Source organism: Homo sapiens, chromosome 7, assembly GCF_000001405.40.
Source record: "Homo sapiens chromosome 7, GRCh38.p14 Primary Assembly".
Taxonomy (NCBI): domain Eukaryota; kingdom Metazoa; phylum Chordata; class Mammalia; order Primates; family Hominidae; genus Homo; species Homo sapiens.
This window is the reverse complement of record NC_000007.14, coordinates 129962799-129988053: the sequence shown is the minus strand read 5'-3', so window position 1 is coordinate 129988053 and position 25255 is coordinate 129962799. Positions and strand designations below refer to the sequence as shown.

Below are 25255 nucleotides of genomic sequence, written 5' to 3'. Positions count from 1 at the left end.
GGCTGCTGCCCTAAGGATGTCAACAAGAGCAGGAAGCCCTGGACCAACCAGGCAGGCATTCTCTTCCCAGAACGATGGGAAAACTCCAAATGGAAGCCCATGACAGCCTCCACCTGGCAATCCTCATTCAACCCCAAACTCAGGCCCTCAATCCCCCTGTACAGCCTGTGTTCCACAGGTTGTCATGGGGAGGGCGCTAGGTGAAAATACTATATAAACTGCATGCTTTTTATTTATTTTTTTTTTTCAGACAGAGTTTTGCTCTTGTTGCCCATGCTGGAGGACAGTGGCACAATCTCGGCTCACTGCAACCTCCACCTCCTGGGTTCAAGTGATTCTCCTGCCTCAGCCTCCCGAGTAGCTGGGACTACAGGCGTGCCCCACCGTGCCCAGCTAATTTTGTATTTTTAGTAGAGAGAGAGTTTCACTATGTTGGTCAGGCTGGTCTGAAACTCCTGACCTGAAGTGATCCACCCATCTTGGCTTCCCAAAGTGCTGGGATTACAGGCGTGAGCCACTGCGCCTGGCCATAAACTGCATGCTTTTTGCGAGTGGTTCTTCTGTCCAGCCCTTTGACCCTGAACTCTCTTCCCCATATGTAGCCCCCAGTAAAACCCTATGTCTCCTTTGCTGGCTCTGGGTCTCTTCTTTGGCCTCTTGAACCTGGTGCCTTTCCCATGGGAGTCAATGGGGGTTTGATACAACAACATCACCTCAAACATTTATCATTTCTTTGTGTTGAGTATGTTCAAAATCTACTCTTCTAGTTGTTTGAAAATATAATAGGTACAGCCGGGCACAGTGGCTCACGCCTACAATCCCAGCACTTTGGGAGGCCGAGGCGGGCGGATCACAAGATCAGGAGATTGAGGCCATCTCAATCTCAATCAGGAGACTGAGGGTCCAAACAGACCCTCTGGCTAACACGGTGAAACCCCATCTCTACTAAAAATACAAAAAAAAAAATTAGCTGGGCGTGGTGGCGGGCACCTGTAGTCCCAGCTACTCGGGAGGCTGAGGCAGGAGAATGGCATGAACCCAGAGGGCGGCGCTTGCAGTGAGCCGAGATGGTGCCACTGCATTCCATCCTGGGTGAGAGAGCAAGACTTCATCTCAAAAACAAAAAAAAAAGAAAAAGAAAATATACAATAGGTCAGGCACGATGGCTCTCACCTGTAATACCAGAACATTGGTAGGCCAAAGCGGGAAGATCACTTGAGCCCAGGAGATTAAGACTGCAGTGAGTCATGATGGCATTACTACACTGCAGCCTGGGCAACAGAGCGAGACCCTGACTCAGAAAAAAAAAAAAGAAAGAAAGAAAACATACAATAAATTGGTGTTAGGCCAGGCGCAGTGGCTCACACCTGTAATCTCAGCACTTTGGGTGGCCGAGGCGGGTAGATCACCGGAAGTCAGGAGTTCGAGACCAGCCTGGCCAACATGCACTCCAGTCTGGGCGACAAGAGCAAAACTCCATCTCAAAAAATAAAAAAAAATTGGTGTTAAATACAGTCACCCATCAGTGCTATAGAACACTAGAACCTATTCCTCCTACCTAGCTGTGCTTTTGTATCTGTTAACAAACCTTTGGCTAACTCTCCTCCCCAACTATTCTACTCTCTACTTCTAGAGAGAATCGACTTTTTCAGTTCCCACATAAGAACATGCAATATTTATCTTTTTGTGCCTGACTTATTTCACTTAACATCATGTCCTCCAAGCTCATTCATGTTGCCACAAATGGCAGAATTGTTTTCTTTTTAATTGCTAAATAGCATTCCATCATGTATATATATACGCCTTATTTTCTTTATCCACTGATGGACACTAAGGTTGATTTTATATCTTGGCTATTGTGAATAGTACCGCAGTAAACATGGGGATGCAGAATCCTTTTGACATGCTTATTTCCTTTAGTTTGGATATATAACTGGTAGTGGGATTGCTAGATCATATGGTAGTTCTATTTTGGGAAATCTCCATACTGTTTTCCAGTATGGCTGTACTGATTTACATTCCTACCAATAATATATAAGAGCTCCCCTTTCTCTGCATCCTCACCAGCATTTGTTATTTTTTTGCTTTTTGATAACCATTCTAACTAGGACAAAATGGTATCTCAGCCGGACGTGGTGGCTCATGCCTGTAATCCCAACACTTTGGGAAGCTGAAGCAGGTGGATCACCTGAGGTGAGGAGTTTGAGACCAGCCTGGCCAACATGGCGAAAAACCATCTTTACTAAAAATACAAAAATTAGCCGGGTGTGGTGGCAGGAGCCTGTAATCCCAGCTACTCAGGAGGCTGAGGCAGGAGAATTTCTTGAACCCAGGAGGTGGAGGTTGCAGTTAGCCGAGATCGTGCCACTGCACTGCAGCCTGGGTGACACAGCGAGACTCCATCTCAAAAAAAAAAAAAAAAAAAAAGATATCTCATTGTGGTTTTGATTCGCATTTCCCAGAATATTAGTGATCACGATTTTTTCATATACCTGTTGGCCATTTGTGTGTCTTCTTTTGAGAGATGTCTATTTAGCTAATTTTCCATTTTCTTTTCTTTTTTAAAAACAGAGACAGGAAGGCTGGGTGCAGTGGCTCATGCTTGTAATCTGAACACTTTGGGAGGCCGAGGCAGGCGGATCACCTGAGGTCAGGAGTTCGAGACCAGTCTGACCAACATGGTGAAATGCTGTCTCTACTGAAAATACAAAATTAGCCAGGTGTGGTGGCGCATGCCTGTAATCCCAGCTACTCAGGAGGCTGAGGCAGGAAAATCGCTTGAACCCAGGAAGTGGAGGTTGCAGTGAGCTGAGATCATGCCACTGCAATCCAGCCTGAGTGACAAGAGCAAAACTCCATCTCAAAACAAACAAACAAACAAAAATAGAGACGACAGGATCTTGCCACATTGCCCAGGCTGGTCTCAAACTCCTGATCTCAAGTGATCCTCCTGCCTTGGTCTCCTAACGTGCTGAGATTACAGGTGTGAATCACCCTGCCTAGCCCTATTCTGGATATTAATCCCTTGTTGGATAAGTAGTTTGCAAATATTTTCTCTCATTCTGCAGGTTGTCTCTTTACTCTGTTATTTCCTTTGCTATACAGAAGTTTTTTGGTTTGATATAATCTCATTTGTCTATTAAAATATGCATTTATATTTTCATTATGAAAGTAGTAAAAAATAGAGCAAAAAAGGTAAATTTCACTGGTACATGGGTACAATCACTTCTAAAAAATAACTTTACCTAGTCAACTTGAACATGTTCATATCCTGGAATCCAGCAATTCCAGTCCTAGGTATACATCCAGAGAAACTAATATACACTCGCACCAGACCATGTATATAGGAACAGTCATGATCACATTGTTCCTAGGAGCAAAAAATTGGCAATGATCCAAATTCCACCCAAAACAATACTGGCCAGACATGGTGACTCACACCTGTAATCCGAGCACTTTGGGAGGCCGAGGTGGATGGATCACCTGAGGTCAGGAGTTCGAAATCAGCCTGGCCAACATGGCGAAACCCCACCTCTACTAAAAATACAAAAAATTAGCTGGGCATGTTGGTGCACGCCTGTAGTCCCAGCTATTCGGCAGGCTGAGGTGGGAGAATCGCTTAAATCCAGGAGGCAGAGGTTGCAGTGAGCCGAGATTGCACCACTGCACTCCAGCCTAGGATACAAGAGCAAAACTCCGTCTCAAAAAAAAAAAAAAGAATAAAAGAAAAAGAAAAATCTCCAAACACAATATGCTCAACACCTCATCCCACATTTTCCTCTCAAGGCTGCTCCTTCTCCACTGTGTCCCCTGTTCGTGTTCACAGCATCCCACCCTCCCACTCACCCAGGTTGGAAAGCCTCTTCCCTCTGCCTCACCCCAATCAGTTATCAAGTACCACGGATTCCACCTGGAGAATGTCTTGCAAGACTCTCTCCTGCCAGCCTGATTCAGATTGTATTTACCTCTTGCCTGAATCTCAGCTGTGATAGCAGCTAACTGACACTTTTTCCTCCAAGCTCCCCTCTGATCTAACCTTTACCCTACTACCAAGCTTATGATCTTTCTAGAGATGGGGTTTGGAGATTTCTAACAGACAGTTGGAAATGTGGACCTAGAGCTCAGGAGAGAAGTCTTTCCCTTCATCCTCTGCCCTACTTTAGTCTCTCAAACATGTTCAGTAAAGATGCTATAACTTTTTTTTTTTTTTTTTTTTTTTAGACAGGGTCTAATTCTGTCACCCAGGCTGGAGTGCAGTGGCACCGTCTCAGCTGACAGCAACCTCTACCTCCTAGGCTCAAGTAATCCTCCCACTCAGCCTCCCAAGTAGCTGGGACTATAGGCGCATGCCACTACACCAAGCTAATTTTTGTATCTTTTTAGAGACAGGGTTTCGCCATGTTGGCCACACTGGTCTCGAACCCCTGGGCTCAAGTGATCCGCCTGCCTTAGCCTCCCAAAGTGCTGGGATTACAGGCGTGAGCCACCGTGCCCAGCCAAGATGCTGTAACCCAATTATCCTCTCAGTGTAACCAGGACTGGCTGCCTTGATGCCTTCCGGGGTTGTATCCCACTTTAGACTGATATCTGGACCTAGAACTGTGGTCTCTGCCCAGGTGGAATTATGATCCAGTATCCCTTATTTATTTTTTTTTTCAAAATCTACCCCAACATGGCCGGGCACGGTGGCTCATGCCTGTAATCCCAGCATATTGGGAGGCCGAGGCAAGTGGATCACCTGAGGTCGGGAGTTCGAGACCAGCCTGACCAACATGGTGAAACCCTGTCCCTACCAAAAATACAAAAATTAGCCGGGCGTGGTGGCACATGCCTGTGATCCCAGCTACTTGGGAGGCTGAGGTAGGAGAATCACTTAAACCAGGGAGGCAGAGGTTGCAGTGAACAGCAACTCCGTCTCAAAAAAAAAAAAAAAAAAAAAAAAAATTAGCAGGTGTGGTAACTGACCTGTAGTTCTACCTACTCGGAGGCTGAGGCAAGAGGATCACTTGAGCCCAGGAGTTTGAAGCTGTAGTGAGCTATGATTGTGCCACTGCACTCCAGCCTAGGCAATGAGCAATACTCTAAATCAAAAAATAATAAAAATAAAAATGAATGGCTGGGCATAGTGGCTCACGCCTGTAATCCCAGCACTTTGGGAGGCTGAGGTGGGTGGATTACAAGGTCAGGAGTTTGAGACCAGCCTGACCAACATGGTGAAAATCCATCTCTACTAAAAATACAAAAATTAGCCAGACGTGGTGGTGCATGCCTATAATCCCAGCTACTCCGGAGGCTGAGGCAGGAGAATAGCTTGAACCCGGGAGATGGAGGTTACAGTGAGCCGAGATCGTGCCATTGCACTCCAGCCTGGGCAATAAGAGCAAGACTCCGTTTCAAAAAAAAAAAAAAAAAATCTACCCCCGTCTTTGAGTCTTTTCTGCTCAATCAACTTATGGTACTTACTCATAACATCCCAAATTACCCGAGTGACTCTTCTTTCTGTGACCATTTCATTTCCTTCAGTAAGATTCCTGAACCCGAAGTGAGGAGCTCTTCCTTTTGACCAGTAAATCTCTCTCAGCCCTCCAGAGAAAGGAAAATGAAGGAGCAGGTGTAGAAGATAGATGTGGGGGTGGCTGGGACTCTAATTTACTCTTCCTCCAGCTGCTCTTGAAGCTTGCAGGTGCCTCCCTCTTGCCTCTCTGAAATCCACCATGAAGATGTCTCTGCTTGGGCAGAAGTTCCACCGTGACTGACTTTATTCTCCCACCTCCTCCGCCCCCGTGGAATTCTCTCTCTCACACACACATACCTGGACCTGAAAGGAGGCTCTAGCAGCTTTTAAATCAGGTTCTCCAGACAAGCTGGGAGACGGAAAGGAGCATTGCTCCACCCACATGCCAGGCCAGCTGTTTAGTCCTAGGGCACCCGCTGCTCCCACCTTTGTGCCTCCCTGTGGAAGAGGTATCCTCCTGACCTCCCTCTCCTCCCCTCTCCTCATGCCTTCTCTGAGCTCCTTCTGGGCCAGTCATGCTGGCTCACACCTGTAATCCCAACACTTTGGGAGGCCAAGGTGGGAGGATCACTTGGGGCCAGGAGTTCAAGACCAGCCTGGGCAACATAGCAGGACCTTGTCTCTACAAAAAAATTTAAAAATTAGCCAGGTGAGGTCCAGGTATGGTGGCTCATGCCTGTAATCCCAGCACTTTGGGAGGCCGAGGTGGGTGGATCACCTGGGCTCAGGAGTTTGAGACCAGCCTGGCCAACATGGTGAAACCCCATCTCTACTAAAAATACAAAAATTAGGCAGGTGTGGTGGTACACGCCTGTGATCCCAACTACTCGGGAGGCTGAGGCAGGAGAATTGCTTGAACCTGGGAGGCAGAGGTTGCAGTGAGCCGAGATCACGCCATTGTACTTCAGCCTGGGTGACAAGAGTGAAACTGCGTCTCAAAAAAAAAAAAAATTAGCCAGGTGTCATGACGTGCACCTGTAGTCCCAGCTGCTCGGGAGGCTGAGGTGGAAAGATTGCTTAAAGCTGGCTGCAGTGAGCCATGATCACACCACTGTACTTCAGCCTGGGCAATAGAGGGAGACCCTGTCTCAAAACTTAAAATAAAATAAAGAAATAAAGCTCCTTCCATCCTTACAGTTCCATCTTTCTTTTTTTCTTTTTTCTTTTTTTCAAGACAGAATCTTGCTCTGTCCCCCGGGCTGGAGTGCAGTGACACGATCTTGGCTCACTGCAACCTTTGCCTCCCAGGTTCAAGTGATTCTTCTGCCTTAGCCTCCGGAGTAGCTGGGATTACAGATACACGCCCACCACTCCCAGCTAATTTTTGTATTTTCAGTAGAGACAGGGTTTTACCACGTTGGCCAGGCTGGTCTCAAAGTCCTGACCTCAAGTGATCACCCTACCTCGGCCTCCCAAAGTGCTGGGATTATAGGCATAAGCCACCACGCCCAGCGACAGCTCCATCTCACACAACTGATTCTGAGACTCAAGCTCTTAGATTGAGCATGGGAGGAGAACAAAGTTGCAAATATTTCCACTTTAACATTTTTGACCCTGTCGCATTCCATTTCAGAGTTTTATGTCATCTCTGTATATGTTTCTAAAACCATATATTGACCTTTAATTAAATTAAAAAATACATTTCAAGAGCTGAGTACATAGTTATCTTAATGGGAATCTTGGCATCAAGTGAATGGAGGCCTGGATCACGGCCTTGTTCACCTTTGCTGAGTTAGGGGTGGCTTGATGGGAGCAGCCTGAAGTGAAAAGATGTAGGCTCAGTCCCTAATTGCCTGTGTCACTCACAGCATGTGATGGGCAATTCACTTTCTCTCTCATCTAAAACATTAGGATTGATAACACCTGTTCTGCCTTTTTCACAGGATTCCTGTGAAAATTAAATATGGAAACCTTTGTAAAAGTCCCTTGTAGGCCAGGCAGGGTGGCTCATGCCTGTAATCCCAGCTACTCGGGAGGCTGAGGCAGGAGAATCACTTGAACCTGGGAAGCGGAGGTTGTGGTGAGCCGAGATCGCACCACTGCTTGCCAGCCTGGGTGACAAGAGCGAAACTCTGTCTCAAAAAACAAAACAAAAACAAACAAACAAACAAAAAACCCTTTGCAAAGTGTGTAAAATCCTGTACAAAGGTGAGATACTGTGATCATCATCTAGGGCGCCAGCACTGGGAGATGGGGCTTCTACTGTTCGTATCTGTGTAGGATTCCATGGCCCTATGTGACTTAGCTGCCTGACTAGGACCAGAGAGTGTCTCCTTGCCTATTTTCTTTTCTTTCTTTTTTTTGATACGGAGTCTCGTTCTGTCGCCCAGGATGGAGTGCGGTGGTGCAATCTCGGCTCACTGCAACCTCTGCCTCCCGGATTCAAGCGATTCTCCTGCCTCAGCCTCCTGAGTAGCAGGACTACAGGCACCGCCACCACACCCAGCTAATTTTTGTGTTTTTAGTAGAGATGCGGTTTCACTATGTTGGCCAGGCTGGTCTCGACCTCCTGACCTCAAGTGATCCGCCCGCCTCAGCCTTACCCAGCCATCCTTGCCTATTTTCTCAGCTTGATAATGATCCAAAGCAGTACCAGCTTAGCTAGTGTTTGACTGAAGCGAGAGAGAGAGAGAGAGAGAGAGAGAGAGAGAGAGAGAATGAATCAGAGAGAAGTGTGCAGACTTTGGTTTTAGGATTGGGATTTTGCAGGGTGGGTGTCAGAGGACTTGTATGATCAGTGCCTTACTTACCCTTCATTCAACAAAGAATGACTGTCAGGGGTTTGGTCTGAGCTCATGGAGAGAGGAGAGAAGGAAGATGAGAGAGGAGCATATTTGAGGGGGTGTCTACAGTTTTAATTTGACCACAGTTAAGTTTGAAATACTTATTAGAAATGCATGGGAAAGGCCGGACATGGTGGCTCATGCCTGTAATCCTACCACTTTGGGAGGCTGAGGCAGGCGGATCACGAGGTCAGGAGATTGAGACCATCCTGGCTAACACGGTGAAACCCCGTCTCTACTAAAAATACAAAAAATTAGCCGGGCATGGTGGTGGGCGCCTGTAGTCCCAGTTACTCGGGAGGCTGAGGCAGGAGTATGGCGTGAACCTGGGAGGCGGAGCTTGCAGTGAGCCAAGATGGCGCAGCTGCACTCCAGCCTGAGCAACAGAGCAAGACTCCGTCTCAAAAAAAAAAAAAAAGGCCGGGCATGGTGGCTCATGTCTGTAATCCCAGCACTTTGGGAGGCCGAGGCGGGTGGATCACCTGAGGTCAGGAGTTCGAGACCAGCCTGGCCAACATGGTGAAACCCCATCTCTACAAAATATACAAAAATTAGCCGGGCATGATGGCAATGCCTGTAATCCCAGCTACTGGGGAGGGTGAGGTGGAAGAATCGCTTGAACCCGGGAGGTGGAAGTTGCAGTGAGCCAAGATCGTGCCATTGCACTCCAGCCTGGACGACAAGAGTGAAACTCCATCTCAAAAAAAAAAAAAAAAGAAATAGTAGAGAAATCTTTCCCAGAAGGCCTGCAGCCACCTCCTCTTCATGTTTCAGAGGTAAAAAAAAAAAAAAAAATGCACATTTCCATTCTTAAACAGATCTCTAGCAAGATAAAAAGATAATCATCATTGTCTTTAGCACGGATCTATGTGGGGGTGGGGGTGGGTGTGGGAGGGCAGGGGAGTCAGTTTCCCACACAAAATTGGAATCCCAGCACTTTGGGAGGTCGAGGCTGGCAGATCACAAGGTCAGGAGTTTGAGACCAGCCTGACCAACATGGTGAAACCCTGTCTCTACTAAAAATACAAAATTGGCCTGGTGAGGTGGTGTGCACCTGTAGTCCCTGTACTGTAATCCCTGCACCTGTAATCCCAGCTACTTGAGGGGCTGAGGCAGGAGAATCGCTTGAACCTGGGAGGCAGAGATTACAGTGAGCCAACATTGTGCCACTGCACTCCAGTCTGGATGACAGAGACTCTGACTCAAAAAAAAAGAAGAAATAAATAAAGAAAGAAATAAAAACAAAGAATAAAATAAAATAAAATGTTCTTGGGGCCAGGCGTGGTGGCTCACGCCTGTAATCCCAGCACTTTGGGAGGCCAAGATGAGTGGATCACAAGGTCAAGAGTTCGAGACCAGCCTGGCCAACATGGTGAAACCCCGTCTCTACTAAAAATACAAAAATTAGCCAAGCATGGTGGCATGCGCCTGTAATCCCAGTTAGGAGGAGGGTGAGACAGGAGAATTGCTTGAACCCAGGGGGGTGGAGATTGCAGTGAGCCAAGATTGCGCCACTGCACTCCAGCCTGGGTGACAGAACGAGACTCCGTCTCAAAATAATAATAATAATAATAACAATAATGTTCTTAGCTTTAATTAGAACCACCTCAAACCTACTCACCTGGATTGGAGGGAGGCCCAATATTAACTATTCCAAGGATGGGTTCCACTCCCTTGGATCATCACTAACCCTGGGCACCTAGACAGGATCCCATGGACTCCCAGTCTTTCAGCACTTAGAGGCCCTGGTTGGCTTTCCTGTGGCTGCTCTGCCAGACAGAGCTGCTGCTTCAAATGCTGGTCCCCACCATCTCTCTGGCCATGGACGTTCCAGAGGATCCTGCAGCCTCCTAGTCCAGCTCCCTGCTCGTAGCTTAAGGATTTCTTCCACGGAGGCTGCCACTTCAGCATCTCCACCCCTCCCCCAGGCCCCAAGGCCTCTACCAACCTAGTTCTTCTTCCCCGTCCTTGAGCCTCTCCTAGGGTCTGGCTGCTTTCTCATTTCCAACCCCTGAACATCCTACAGCTGTCCGAGACGATAAAATCTAATCTTGCTGATAGATTACACAAATGACTCCTCACCTCCTGTGATCACCTTCTAGAGGAAAAGGTTTCCCAGAAATCAGAATAAAGGCCTGTGTACCACACTGGGAGGGGAAAAATACCTTTCATTCCTCCTAAGGCATCCACAGAGGTAAAAACAAACACGAGCTGATTCTCAGTAGATTATTCTGCTACATATATCATGTATGCATTTACATCTCAGCCTAACAAACAAAAAAGAAATGAAAGAGAGGTTTCACCTGTGCTGTAACTATGCATGTTTCAGTCTTCCTGTCAGCCTTAGAAATAATTTAAGGGGCTAGATGCAGTGGCTCACGCCTGTAATCCCAGCACTTTGGGAGGCTGAGGCAGGCGGATCACCTGAGGTCAGGAGTTCAAGACCAGCCTGGCTAACATGGTGAAACCCTGTCTCTACTGAAAGACAAAAATTAGCTGGGCGTGGTGGTGGGCGCTTATAATCCCAGCTACTAGGGAGGCTGAGGGAGGCGAATTGCTTGAACCCGGGAGGCAGAGGTTGCAGTGAGCCGAGACCACACCACTGCACTCCAGCCTGGACGACAGAGTGAGACTCCTTCTAAAAAAAAAAAAAAAGAAATAATTTAAGGACAGATACTCCATATTACCAATCTTTGTATTCTCAAGGTGGGTGCTTAATAAATATTGGATGAATGAATGAATTGCCTGTCTAATTTAGAACCCTCAGTACAATATCGTATTTACTGGCCACTTTAGAGGCTTAACTGCCAATATCTCTGTCATTCTATTACCAACAGAGAGCTGCTGATTGTCAGAGCATGATAGCAGCTCATCCTCCTAGACATGGGGCAAGTTTGCATCAGGTGAAATGTTTGTACTGGAATTTTCTATCGTTTGTGTCCAAATCTCTGCTACTTGTGAAGATCAGTTCCATGATTAGTCAATAGACATGATGTTCTTGATTCCAGAAAGTTAATAGCCAAAGTGTCAATTATTTAGCAGATGCAAACTTATCTGAGTTGTTTTTTTTTTTTTTTTTTTTTTTTGGATGGAGTCTTGCTCTGTCACCCAGGCTGGAGTGCAGTGGCTCAATCTCGGCTCACTGCAAGCTCTGCCTCCGGGGTTCACGCCATTCTCCTGCCTCAGCCTCCCAAGTAGCTGGGACTACAGGCGCCCGCCACCACGCCCGGCTAATTTTTTTTGCATTTTTAGTAGAGACAGGGTTTCCCCATGTTAGCCAGGATGGTCTTAATCTCCTGACCTCGTGATCCACCCACCTTGGCCTCCCAAAGTGCTGGGATTACAGATGTGAGCCACCACACCAAGATTTTTTTTTTTTTTTTAAACAGGTTCTTACTCCGTCACACAGGCTGGAGCACAGTAGCATGATCACAGCTCACTGCAGCCTCAACCTCACAGGCTCAAGCAATCCTCCCACCTCAGCCTCCTGAGTAGCACCACCATGTCCAGCTGAGTTTTGTATTTTTTTTAAAGATAGGGTTTCACCATGTTGCCCAGGTTGGTCTCAAACCCCTGGGCTCAAGCAATCCTTCTGCTTCGGCCTCCCAAACTGCTGGAATTAGAGCATGAGCAACTGTGCCCAACCTGAGAAATTTTACACCCAAGAAGAGCCCTGGAAGAGCATTCATATGATTGGGTAGGTTTGTTTGTTTGTTTGTTTGTTTTGAGATGGAGTCTCACTTTGTCGCCCAGGCTGGAGTGCAGTGGTGCGATCTCAGCTCACTGCAACATCTGCCTCTTGGGTTCAAGCAATTCTCCTGCCTCAACCTCCTCAGTAGCTTGGATTACAGGTGCCCGCCACAATGCTCAGCTAATTTTTGTATTTTTAGTGGAGACAGGGGTTTCACCATGTTGGCCAGGTTGGTCTCGAACTCCTGACCTCAGATGATCCACCCACCTCGGCCTCACACAGTGCTAGGATTACAGGAGTGAGCCACAGTGTTGGGCAGGGTAGATTTTCTGTTTGTTCATTTACTTGTTTGTGTGTGTTGGGGTAGAGGGGTGGTTTTTGTTTTGCTTTGTTTTGTGTCTTGCTCCATCAAAACCCTGGCTTCAAGGTGTTAAAACTGACTAAATAATAAGCAGCTGAATCAACACTGGTCTTGAGACAGAGGTGCCATGAGATGAAATGTTTCCACCTGTGCTGAAAATAAACATTGTTAGCACAACTGAGCATACTGCAACTGGGTTTATTCCATTCCAGTGCACAGGGCCAAAGAGGTCTCCTTAGCACACTTAGCCCTTGTGACTCAAGATCTCCTTCTCTTTACCCAGAAAGAGAAGTAGCTTGGAAACACGCTCAGTTATCTCAGTAACAAACAAATTGCTATCCCTCAGTGAGAAAATTTAATTCTGTGATTTGTGTGTGAGCTCAAGAGACACCAATCAAAACCCTGAAGGGTTTAAGAGAAAGATCTAACAACCAACACTCATTTCTAGAAAACAAGGTGTACCACACAAATTTATAGATTTTTTTTTCTCTATTTAATTACTGATCTTGTAAGTAGCTGGAATGCAGTGGGAAGCAAACCCCTGGACTATAATAAAAAATATTCCTGCCCGGCGTGGTGGCTCATGCCTGTAATCCCAGCACTTTGGGAGGCTGAGGCGGGTGGATCACAAGGTCGGGAGATCGAGACTATCCTGGCTAACATTGTGAAACCCTGTCTCTACTAAAAATACAAAAAATTAGCCGGGCATGGTGGCAGGTGCCTGTAGTCCCAGCTACTCAGGAGGCTGAGGCAGGAGAATGGCATGAACCCAGAAGGCGGAGCTTGCAGTGAGCCGAGATCGCGCCACTGCACTCCAGCCTGGGAGACAGAATGAGACTCCATCTCAAAAAAAAAACAAACAAAAAAAAAAAACAAAAAAAAAATTCCAGACCAGGTGAGGTGGCTCACGCCTGTAATCCTAGCACTTTGGGAGGCTGAGGCAGGCAGATCACAAGGTCAGGATTTCGAGACCAGCCTGGCCAACATAGTAAAACCCTGTCTCTACTAAAAATACAAAAATTAGCCAGGCATGGTGGCATGTGCTTGTAGTCCCAGCTACTCTGGAGGCTGAGGCAGGAGAATCGCTTGAACCTGGGAGGTGGAGATTGTAGTGAGCCGAGATTGCACCACTGCACTCCAGCCTGGGGGACAGAGTGTGACTCTGTCTCAAAAGCAAAAAGAAAACAATAGAAAAGGAGGTGAGGCACCCTATCTAAGCACTGATTACATCTTTACTGAGCACTTGACTGTACACTCCAGTGACTCTGCTGGGCCTTAGGAATACATCGTAAGAGAGGTCTGGTTTTCACACTTGTAGAGCTCCCAGTACCATCAGAGACATTAATCAACCGACTACACAAAGACAACTGAACTTTAACATTCCTTTTTTTTTTCTTCCAAGAGACAGGGTGTCGGCCGGGCGTGGTGGCAGTGAGCTGAGATCGTGCCACTGCACTCCGGCCTGGCAACAGAGCGAGACTCTGTCTCAAAAAAAAAAAAAAGAGAGAGACAGGGTCTCAGTCTCACTCTGTCACCCAGGCTGGGGTGCAGTGGTGTGACCATAGCTCACTGCAGCCTCAAACTCCTAAGCTCAAGCCATCCTCTGACCTCAGCCTCCCAAGTATCTGAGACAACAGGTGTGCACCACCACACCCCGCTAATTTTTCGATTTTTATGGAGACGGAGTTTTGCTATGTTGCCCATGCTGGTCTTGAACTCCTGGGCTCAAGCCATCCTCTCACCTTGGTCTACCAAAGTGCTGGGATTATAGGCATGAGCCACCATGCCCAGACTAACATTCCACAAATATTCTAGTCTCCTGGCTCTGGCCAGCACTTTGCCCTGGCCACACTCTGATTGTGCTCCAGCTGCAGCCAAAGATAGATTCCTCCCTAACACAACATTATGGACATCTCAGGGGATTTTTCCTTTCCTCTCTTAACAGCCCAGAAAGACAATCTGTTGCTAATGAACAAAATTAAGCTAATTTTTTTTAGGTGTGTGTGGGTCAATTATTTACGTAAAAATGTCTTCAGAGGCAGGGCGCGGTGGCTCACGCCTGTAATCCCAGCACTTGGGAGGCCGAGGCGAGCAGATCACCTGAGGTCAGGAGTTCGAGACCAGCCTGACCAACATGGTGAAACCCCATCTCTACTAAAAATACAAAAATTAGCCAGGCATGGTGGCGTGCACCTGTAGCCCCAGCTGCTAGGGGGACTGAGGCAGGAGGATTGCTTGAACCTGGGAGATGGAGGTTGCAATGAGCTGAGATCACACCACTGCACTCCAGCCTGGGTGACAGAGTAAGACTCCATCTCAAAAAAAAAAAAAAAAAAGAGAGAGATGCAACAAATTTCCATCAATTGACCAACAGTTAAATACATCATGGTACCTCCATATGATGGACTAGTTTGCAACAGCTAAAACAATGATAGGGGTAGGGGCAGGTGCTCATGATATAGTAAGTGAAAAACGGTGATACAAATGTATATATACAACATAATTCAACTACACAAAAATATGTGAACATAAAAATAAACATATGCCAAATATTAGGGAAGTTTTCTCTGGGAGGTGGGATTATGATTTTTTTTCTTTTCTTTTTCTTTTTTTTTTTTTTTGAGACGGAGTCTCGCTCTGTTGCCCAGACTGGAGTGCAGTGGTGCAATCTTGGCTCACTGCAACCTCCACCACCCAGATTCAAATGATCCTCGTGCCTCAGCCTCCCGGGTACCTGGGATTACAGGCATGTGCCAACACACCTGGCTAATTTTTGTATTTTTAGTGGAGGCAGGGTTTTATCATGTTGGCCAGGCTGGTCTCGAACTCCTGACCTTGTGATCTGCCACCTCGGCCTCCCAAAGTGCTGGGATTACAGGTGTGAGCCACCATGCCCAGCCTTTTTTTCTTTCATTTTTAAGAAACAGGATCTTGCTCTTCTAGGCTGGAGTGTCATGAGGTACAATCATAGGTCACTGCAGCCTCAATGTCCTAGACTCAAGTCATCATCCTGCCTCAGCCTCCTAGTAGCTGGGACCACAGACTTGCGCCACCACATCCAGCTAATTGGGAGGTGGGATTACAGATAGCTGTTATTTTCTTTTTCCTTTTTTTTTCTTAACTGACTAAGCTCCAAGACCGTTATTTTCTTTCTTTTTTTTTTTTTTTTTGAGAAGGAGTCTCGCTCTGTCATCCAGGCTGGAGTGCAGTGGCGTGATCTCGGCTCACTGCAATCTCCGCCTCCCGGGTTCACGCCATTCTCCTGCCTCAGCCTCCCGAGTAGCTGGGACTACAGGCGCCTGCCACCACGCCTGGATAATTTTTTGTATTTTTAGTAGACGGGGTTTCACCGTGTTAGCCAGGATGGTCTTGATCTCCTGACCTCGTGATCCACCCGCCTCGGCCTCCCAAAGTGCTGGGATTACAGGCATGAGCCACCGCGCCTGGCCTCAAGACCATTATTTTCTTTACATGTTCCAGGTTTTCCCCACTAAGAACATATTCTTTTTTTTTTTTTTTTTTGAGATGGAGTCTTGCTCTGTTGCCTAGGCTGGAGTGCAGTGGCATGATCTTGGGTCACTGCAACCTCCGCCTCCCAGGTTCAAGCAACTCTCCTGCCTCAGCCTCCCAAGTAGCTGGGATTACAGGAGTGTACCACCACGCCCAGCTAATTTTTGTATTTTAGTAGAGACGGGGTTTCACCATGTTGGCCAGGCTGGTCTTGAACTCCTGACCTCAAGTGATCTGCCCACCTTGGCCTCCCAAAGTGCTGGGATTACAGACGTGAGCCACCATGCCCAGCCAGGAACATATTACTTTTCTTTTTTCTTTTTTTTAAGACAGAGTTTCGCTCCTGTTGCCCAGGCTGGAGTGCAATGGCATGATCTCGGCTCACCACAACCTCCACCTCCTGGGTTCAAGTGATTCTCCTGCCTCAGCTTCCCGAGTAGCTGGGATTACAGGCATGCCCCACCATGCCCGGCTAATTTTTTGTATTTTTAGTAGAGATAGGGTTTCTCCATGTTGGTCGGGCTGGTCTCGAACTCCTGACCTCAGGTGATCTGCCTGCCTCGGCCTCCCAAAGTGCTGGGATTACAGGCATGAGCCACCATGCCCGGCTGGAACATATTACTTTTCAAATCAGAAAGGAGGCTGGGCGCGGTGGCTCATGCCTGTAATCCCAGCACTTTGGGCGGATCACCTGAGATCAGCAGTTCAGGACCAGCCTGACCAACATGGTGAAACCCTGTCTCTACCAAAAATACAAAAATTAACTGGGTGTGCTGGCGGGCACCTGTAATCTCAGCTGCTCGGGAGGCTGAGGTAGGAGAATCGCTTGAACTCAGGAGGCGGAGGTTGCAGTGAGCTGAAATAGCGCCACTGCACTCCAGCCTGGGCGACAGAGTGACACTTCGTTTAAAAAAAAATTAAATCAGGAAGGATATTAAAAGTGAAAAATAATTTCAGGTCTACAAGCCACTGTGGTTATTCTATTTGAATTCTAAATGTTCCCTCAGTTTTCCTGCCAATCTTATTCTGTTTCCTTTTGAGGAACTAATAGCTTGTAAGGTAGGGGTGAGCAGTTGGATTTATAAGTGTGGAGAAGCATCCTGGCACCTCTCTGAGAGTTTCCTCCCAAACCAGGCCACCTCCCCAGCCTTGGCTGCCCTCCGAGGGAGTGGCCCACATGCAGGTGAACTTCACACTCCACAGTATCCGGGCAGGAAGCCTTCCATTCCACTGGCCTCTGGAGGAAGCCCGCAGCTCTGAGCCCAGTTGCCAGTGTGGGAGGGAAACTGAGACTGGGAACTCACTGCAGAGCAGACTCCAGGGACTGTCTCACACCTTCCCTACCCTAAAGACAAGCATTTCCAAAAGCTACTGCACCCCTTTTCCTCCCCTTCAGGGTTGGGGAGAGAGATTTGAGAATTGAGGGTAACCCTGGCCGGGCACGGTGGCTCACACCTGTAATCCCAGCACTTTGAGAGGCCGAGGCGGGTAGATCATGAGGTCAGGAGATCAAGACCATCCTGGCTAATACAGTGAAACCCCATCTCTACTAAAAATACAAAAATTAGCTAGGCATGGTGGCAGGTGCCTGTAGTCCCAGCTACTGGGGAGGCTGAGGCAGGAGATTGGTGTGAATCCGGGAGGTGGAGCTTGCAGTGAGCCGAGATCTCGGCACTGCACTCCACTCCAGCCTGGGCAGCAGAGTGAGACTCCGTCTCAAAAAAAAAAAAAAAAAAGGAATTGAGGGTAACCCAGAAGTCAGGAGTTTAACAAGAGAAAATACCAGGCATGACAGACAAGTCCTGGCTAGGTCTTGGCTGGATGGAAGCAGGGAAGCTAACTGGTCATCGCTGGTGGCTGGGACCAGCCTTGTGAGTAACCAAGAGGCCAGGCCAGTGGTTCTGAGACCCTGAGTGTGTTTCAGAAGGTCTCAGATAAAGAATGTGGGAGGTTTACCCCTTCTTTGTGCACTGCTTGAAAATCCCAGGCAAGGAGGTAGCTTAGATAATGTAGCATACACTGAAATTCTTCTGTGCTGAGACACTTATTTCCTGTCTTTATTCAATGCCAGTGAATACCAGAAAGTTTCCTTTTCAGGAGCTTGAAATTCAGGCATCAGGAAGGTGAACAGAGCCGCAAGCAAAGGCACATGGACACGTGTGAATCACACAAGCACTAAAAGCCACCATGGAGTGGAGGAGGGGAAGGTGAGGCCTGGGTGGGGCCTTCTGCAAGAAAACAAGGAATATCTGTTTAGGGATGGGGGTGGGGAGAGAAGGAAAATAGCCTCAGGGGACCAGAAAGTCAAACACTGACTTCAGGAAAGGCAGTGTCTGCACAAACGTTCCTTCTGAGGCAAGAAGATACAGGTAATGGCGGAGCACGGTGGCTCACATCTGTAACCCCAGCACTTTGGGAGGCCAAGGCGGGCAGATCACCTGAGGTCAGGAGTTCAAGACCAGCCTGACCAACATGGAGAAACCCCGTCTCTACTAAAAATACAAAAATTAGCTGGGCGTAGTGGCGCGCCCCTGTAATCCCAACTACTCGAGAGTCTAGGCAGGAGAATGACTTGAACCCGGGAGGCAGAGGTTGCAGTGAGCCGAGATCGCGCCACCGCACTCCAAGAGCAAGACTCCATCTGGAAAAAAAAAAAATTGGTTGGTATCTACATCAAAATGGGCTTTCTATCTTTTCCTCACAGAATTCAACTTACTCTCCCCCGACTCCAGTCTTAGACAACACTACTGGCTACGTGCAGGACAGTCACCCCCTGTTTTCCTGCCAAGGGCTGATGGTCACCCCATGGAGTACTGGAGGTTGGGAGAAGGGTTAGAGTTATCTTTCTAGTACCATTCCCTCCCAGAGAGGAGAGAAGTTTCTACTTAAGAGTGCAAGGTAGAAAAGCAGGAGGGTTTGTAAAGCTCCTACCCTCAAGTAAATGCATAATTTGCCTGTCCTAACGTGGCTTCCTAGAAAACAGAGCTAGAGGCAAAGCCCAAGGGTTAATGTTTCACTGGGGTGGGCTGCAAGCCCAGGGCAGCAAGAGTGAGGAAGAGGGGAAGCTAGGCAGCTGAGGAAGGAACGTGTTCTCATTATGGATGACAGGTCGTTGTGTTTTCATTCATTCGGGGGCCTCCAAGCGTTAGAAGAATCACATGGGGACAAAGCAGCAGCAGAATGAGCCACTGCGGGCTCCTTCCGGCCTCCTCTCTCTTTTCCATAAAAGTCCACCCCACGGTGTTAACTCCCCTTCATGTGCAGGTTGTGTTACTGGGCCCCTCTCAGCAGCTACTGGGGAGCCAGAAGGTCCTGGAGTCCAGTTTGGTGCTGGAGCTGCTGCACCTTGGCCCTCACTCCTAGGGGAGGTTGAGGCAGTGGCTGTGTGAGGAAAGAAGCCATGGCAGTGACAGCTGTGCCTGGAGAGCCACAGAAGGATGCAGCCGGCACTGCCCTCACTACGCGGGAAGCACTGCAAGACTGAGAGACTGAGGCAGGATCAAGGCCTGGGAAGGAGTGGGGCTTAGCAAATCTAAGGAGGTTTATAAACTGGGTCCAGAACATTGACTTAGGGAAAAACTGTTTAGATTCTAAATTTGATGTTCTGAGCAGCCAGATGTATTGTGACTGCAACTTCTGTAAGCACCGGTTTTAAAAAAGCATGTGAATTGAAAGATTTCTTGTGTTCTCTCCTCATGACAAAATGATGCAACTATCTTGGCCGGGTGTGGTGGTTCACACCTGTAATCCCAGCACTTTGGGAGGCCGAGGCAGGTGGATCACTTGAGGTCGGGAGTTTGAGACCAGCCTGGCCAACATGGTAAAACCCCATCTCTACTAACAACACAAAAATTAGCTGGGCATGGTGGCAGACGCCTGTAGTCCCAGCTACTCGGGAGGCTGAGGCAGGAGAATGACTTTGTCTTTAAAAAAAAAAAAAAAAAAAGATAGAAAAAGATGCAACTGTCTGCAAGGCCTAGAGGCCTTCCAAGTTTGCGCTGGGCTTGAAACTATGTAGACGGCCTAGATCACTGGCCCAACCACTGTCCAGGTTTGGAACAGCTTCATTTATTTCTTTATTTTTTTGAGACAGATTTTCACTCTTACTGCCCAGGCTGGAGTGCAATGGTGCAATCTCAGCTCACTGCAACCTCCGCCTCATGGGTTCAAGCGATTCTCCTGCCTTAGCGTCCTGAGTAGTTGAGATTACAGGCATGTACTACCACATCCAGCTAATTGCTAATTTTGTATTTTTAGTAGAGACGGGGTTTTTCCAAGTTGCTCAGGCTGGTCTCAAACTCCTGACGTCAGGTGATCCGTCCGCCTTGGCCTCCCAAAGTGCTGGGATTACAGGTGTGAGCCAACGTGCCCGGCCTGGAACAGCATCATTTTTTTTTTTTTGAGACAGAGTCTCACTCTGTCACCAGGCTGGAGTGCAATAGCGCGATCTTGGCTTGCTGCAACCTCTGCCTCCCGAGTTCAAGTGATTCTCCTGCCTCAGCCTCCCAAGTAGCTGGGACTACAGGCATACGCCACCACGCCCAGTTAATTTTTGTATTTTTAGTAGAGACAGGGTTTCACCATGTTGGCCAGGCTGGTCTCGAACTCCTGACCTCGTGATCCACCTGCCTTGGCCTCACAAAGTGCTGGGATTATAGGCGTGAGCCACCGTGCCTGGCCTAGAACAGCTTCATTTTTAGCCAAACAGAATGTGATAGGAATCAAGCCAATCATCCTACAGTTTGGTAAAATTATCCTTCACCCCTTCCCCTGCTTGACAATACAGAGCTGTCAGCTGAAGGCACGATGGATCCTTTGCTGTGTGACCTCTGGAGGAAGGCCAAAGACATTTACAGGTCAAGCAACCAGAGCACCCTGGAGAAACCAAAAAGGCTTTAGAAACAGCAGGAGAAAGTAAGAAAGAGAGAAACTGAAGGAAGGGAAAGAAATCAGAGTCCTGCTTTCCCACTTTAGCTTTCTTTTCCTTTAGTCAACTAAGCAAATGTATACATCTCACTTTTCCCTAATGCAACCTCATTTCTCCACCAGCAAAATTAGCAGAGGAGTCCTGGCTTGCATTGTCGGGAATAAGAAAACTTTGGAGGGCGGGGTGCGGTGGCTCACTCCTGTAATCCCAGCACTTTGGGATGCCGAGGTGGGCAGATCACCAGAGGCCAGGAGTTCGAGACTAGCCAGGCCAACATGGTGAAACCTCGTCTCTACTAAAAACACAAAAATTAGCCAGGTGTGGTGGCACACGCCTGTAACCCCAGCTACTAGGGAGGCTGAGGCAGGAGAATTGCTTGAACCCAGGAGGCAGAGGTTGAAGTGAGCTGAGATCACACAAAACAAAACAAGAAAAAGAATTTGGTTAAGTATTGCCAGACTTAACTTTTTCTTTTTCTTTTTCTTTTTTTTTTTTTTTGAGACAGGGTCTCACTTTGTCACCCAGGCTAGAATATAGTGGCATGAACATAGCTCACTGAAGCCTCAACTTTCTGGTAGCCTCAACCTGCCATGCTCAAGCGATCCTCCCACCTCAGCCTCCTGAGTAGCTGGCACCACAGGCACATGCTACCACGCTCAGCTAATTTAAAAATTCTTTTTGTAGAAATGGGGTCTCCTTGTTTCCCAGGCTGCTCTTGAACTCCTGGGCTCAAGTCATGCTTTCACCCTGGCCTCCCAAAGTGCTGGGGCTACAGGCATGAGCTACTATGCCAGGCCATACTTAACCTTTTTTTTTTTTTTTTTTGGAGACAGAGTCTCAGTCTGTTGCCCATGCTGGAGTGCAGTGCCACGATCTCAGCTCACTGCAATGTTTGCCTCCCAGGTTTAGCGATTCTCCTGCCTTAGCCTCCTGAGTAGCTGAGATTACAGGTGCCACCACCATACCTGGCTAATTTTTGTATTTTTAGTAGAGACGGGGTTTCACCTTGTTGGCCAGGCTGGTCTCGAACTCCTGACCTCAGGTGATCCACCTGCCTTGGCCTCCCAAAGTGCTGGGATTACAGGTGCCCACCACCACACCTGGCTAATTTTTGTATTTTTAGTAGAGACAGAGTTTAAACATCTCTGTCTCATAACAAAAAATGATAAGCATGTGAGGTGATGAGTATGTTAAGTAGCTAGATTTAACCATTTCATCATGTATTCACATATCCAAATATTATGTTATAATATTATATGACACAATACACAATTTTGGCCTGGCATGGTGGCTCACACCTGTAATCGCAACATTTTGGGAGGCCGAGGCAGGAGGCCGACAGAGTGAGACCCCGTCTCAAAAAAAAAAAAACACAATTTTTATTTGTCAACTATACCTTAATAAAAAGAAATAGCTAATAGCAGAACCATATATATTATTACTATGTGTGTACATACATGTATACACATATACATACACATAGATACATATAAATACTGAAATTCACTTGTGTTTTAAATAAATATATATTCAAACTTAAAACATCTTAGGCCAGGCGCAGTGGCTCACGCCTGTAATCTCAGCACTTTGGGAGGCTGAGGCCGGTGGATCACCTGAGGTCTGGAGTTTGAGACCAGCCTGACCAACATGGAGAAACCCTGTCTCTACTAAAAATACAAAATTAGCTGGGTGTGGTGGCACATGCCTGTAATCCCAGCTACTCCGGAGGCTGAGGCAGGAGAATCGCTTGAACCCAGGAGGCAGAGGTTGCGGTGAGCCGTGATCGCGCCATTGCACTCCAGCCTGGCAGCCTGGGCAACAAGAATGAAACTCTGTCTCAAAAATAAATAGATAAGATAGATAAAGAGGCTGGGTGTGGTGGCTCACACCTATAATCCCAGCACTTTGGGAGGCCAAGGCAGGCGGATTACCTGAGGTCAGGAGCTCGAGAGCAGCCTGGCCAACATGGTGAAACCCTGTCTCTACCAAAAATACAAAAATTAGATAGGTGCGGTGCCAGGCGCCTGTAATCCCAGCTACTCAGGAGGCTGAGGCAGGAGAATCGCTTGAACCTGGGAGGCAGAGGTTTCAGTGAGCTGAGATTGCACCACTGCACTCCAGCCTGGATGACAAGAGTGAAACTCCGTCTCAAAAAGAAAAAGAAAAAGAAAAAGAAATGTCTCTGTGGCTCCTGGGTGGGGAATAGACTGTAGGGTGAGGGGGAAGTCACTATGGGCAAAAGCAGGAGCAGAGAGGCCAGTTAGACTGGATCGCACAGAGGATGGTGTCTCACTTTAGGTGTGAGACACAGGGAGAAGGGCTCAGGTTTGGCAAATATGTTCAAGGGGGAGTCTTGTGGAATTTGCTGATGGACTGGGTAATGGGGATGATAAAGAAAAAAACAGTAGGCCGGGCGCGGTGGCTCACGCCTGTAATCCCAGCATATGGGAAGCCAAGGCAGGTGAATCACGAGGTCAGGAGTTCAAGACCAGTCTGGCCAACATGGTGAAACCCTGTCTATACTAAAAATACAAAAATTAGCTGGGCACAGTGGCAGGCGCCTGTAATCCCAGCTACTTGGGAGGCTGAGGCAGGAGAATCGCTTGAGCCCGGAGGGGCAGAGGTTGCACTGAGCCGAGATCACGCCACTGCACTCTAGCCTGGGTGACAGAGCAAGACTCCATCTAAAAAAAAAAAAAAAAAAAAAACACAAAGCAGGCAAGGGAGACTCTAAGGGCTTAGTCTGGGCAGCTGGTTGAATGATGGTGCCATTTGCTGAGAGGGGGAACTCTGGAGACACAGACCATTTCTTTTCAGAGGAACATTAATGTGTTAGAATGGCCTAGATCCTGCGCGATGAAATTATCTGTACACTACACCCCCTGTGACATACAGTTTGCCTATATAACAAACCTGCACATGCATCCCTGCACCTAAAGTAAAAGTTAAAAAAAAAAAAAAATGGAGTGGCCTAGTAGATTTCTGGTCATGAAGGAGGTAAAATTTTGGTTTGGCCTTAAAAATAGTAAGTTTCGGCTGGGCGCGGTGGCTCACGCCTGTAATCCCAGCGCTTTGGGAGGCCGAGGCGGGTGGATCACAAGGTCAGGAGATCGAGACCATCCTGGCTAACACAGTGAAACCCCGTCTCTACTAAAAAATACAAAAAATTAGCCGGGCGTGGTGTCAGGTGCCTGTAGTCCCAGCTAGTCTGGAGGCTGAGGCAGAAGAATGGTGTGAACCCGGGAGGCGGAGCTTGCAGTGAGCCAGATCGCACCACTGCGCTCCAGCCTGGGTGACAGAGCGAGACTCCGTCTCAAAAAAAAAAAAAAACAAAAAAAGTAAGTTTCCCAACACCTGCAAATTAAACTGACTGAATTAACAAGGTGGCACAGCAGATTGCAAGTGGCATGCGCTTTGACGTTGGGGACTTGGATTTGAATCCTGATGCTTCCATTTACCGTCTGTGTGACCTTGGGCAACTTACATGACTTCTTTGAACGTAAGATTCTTCATCTGTGCAACAAGCAGAATAACATCTGTCCTGCCAGGTTGGTTGGTTGTAAGTAATGCACCTTGGTACAGTGCCTGGTTCAGAGTAGGCACTCAGGATGTGAGGTTTCCTGCCACTTTATACGGACCGTTAGGAAGAATTAACTTTGTGAGCTTCCAAGGAGCTCCTTTAAGCTTTTAATTTTTTGTTGCCTTTTCAGCCGGTCTTCCTTCTTCATTTCATTCATTTACTATTTGAACACTTACTATGTACCACATACCACTCTAGACATTGGATATACAACAGTGAATTAGACAAAGGTCCCTCTCTTCCTGCACTTACATCCTGAATTAAATAAAGTATATGAGTAAAACACAGTATATGAGATGGTAGTAAGTCCTCGGGAGGAAAAACAAAAGAAAAAGGAAGAGGATGTACTGGGGTAGAGTTGGTACCGCAATTTAAGGTGGGCACAGTGGCTTATGCCTATTATTCCAGATACTCAGGATGGTGAGATGGGAGGATCGCTTGAGCTCAGGAATCCAAGGCCAGCCTGGGCAAAATAGTGAGAACCTGTCTCTAAAAAATAAATAAATGGCCGGGCGCGGTGGCTCACGCCTGTAATCCTAGCACTTTGGGAGGCCAAGGTGGGTGGATCACGAGGTCAGAAGTTCAATACCAGCCTGGCCAACATGGTGAAACCCCACCTCTACTAAAAACTACAAAAATTAGCCAGGTGTGGTGGCACGCGCCTATAGTCCCAGCTACTTGGGAGGCTGAGGCAGAAGAATCGCTTGAACCCGGGAGGCGGAGGTTGCAGTGAGCCGCAATCATGTCACTGCACTCCAGCCTGGGTGACAGGGCGAGACTCTGTCTCAAAAAATAATAATAAATAAATAAATAAATAAATAAATAGGCTGGTCGCAGTGGCTCATGCCTGTAATCCCAGCACTTTGGGAGGCCGAGGCGGATGGATCA

The 25255-nt window shown here is 47.6% G+C and overlaps 1 long non-coding RNA gene across 1 annotated transcript in view, besides 3 other annotated features; it reads right to left on the bottom strand.

The window, feature by feature from the left end:
* The window catches only part of UBE2H-DT (UBE2H divergent transcript), a 73246-nt gene that overhangs the window by 38259 nt on the left and 9732 nt on the right, over positions 1-25255 (bottom strand). The window contains exon 2 of the long non-coding RNA XR_007060520.1: positions 5464-5702. This is a non-coding gene — a long non-coding RNA (UBE2H divergent transcript). The remainder of the gene's footprint in view (positions 1-5463; positions 5703-25255) is intronic.
* Positions 18400-19041: an enhancer, noted in NCBI's record as "H3K27ac-H3K4me1 hESC enhancer chr7:129608853-129609494 (GRCh37/hg19 assembly coordinates)". NCBI's record gives its function as "activates a minimal SCP1, AML or CMV promoter by ChIP-STARR-seq in primed H9 embryonic stem cells {active_cell/tissue: H9 hESC(primed)}" and the evidence as "EXISTENCE:reporter gene assay evidence [ECO:0000049][PMID:30033119]".
* Positions 19042-19684: an enhancer, noted in NCBI's record as "H3K27ac-H3K4me1 hESC enhancer chr7:129608210-129608852 (GRCh37/hg19 assembly coordinates)". NCBI's record gives its function as "activates a minimal SCP1, AML or CMV promoter by ChIP-STARR-seq in primed H9 embryonic stem cells {active_cell/tissue: H9 hESC(primed)}" and the evidence as "EXISTENCE:reporter gene assay evidence [ECO:0000049][PMID:30033119]".
* Positions 21247-21435: a silencer, noted in NCBI's record as "fragment chr7:129606459-129606647 (GRCh37/hg19 assembly coordinates)". NCBI's record gives its function as "represses an EF-1alpha promoter that drives an FKBP-Casp9 reporter gene in an ReSE screen in K562 erythroleukemia cells {active_cell/tissue: K562}" and the evidence as "EXISTENCE:reporter gene assay evidence [ECO:0000049][PMID:32094911]".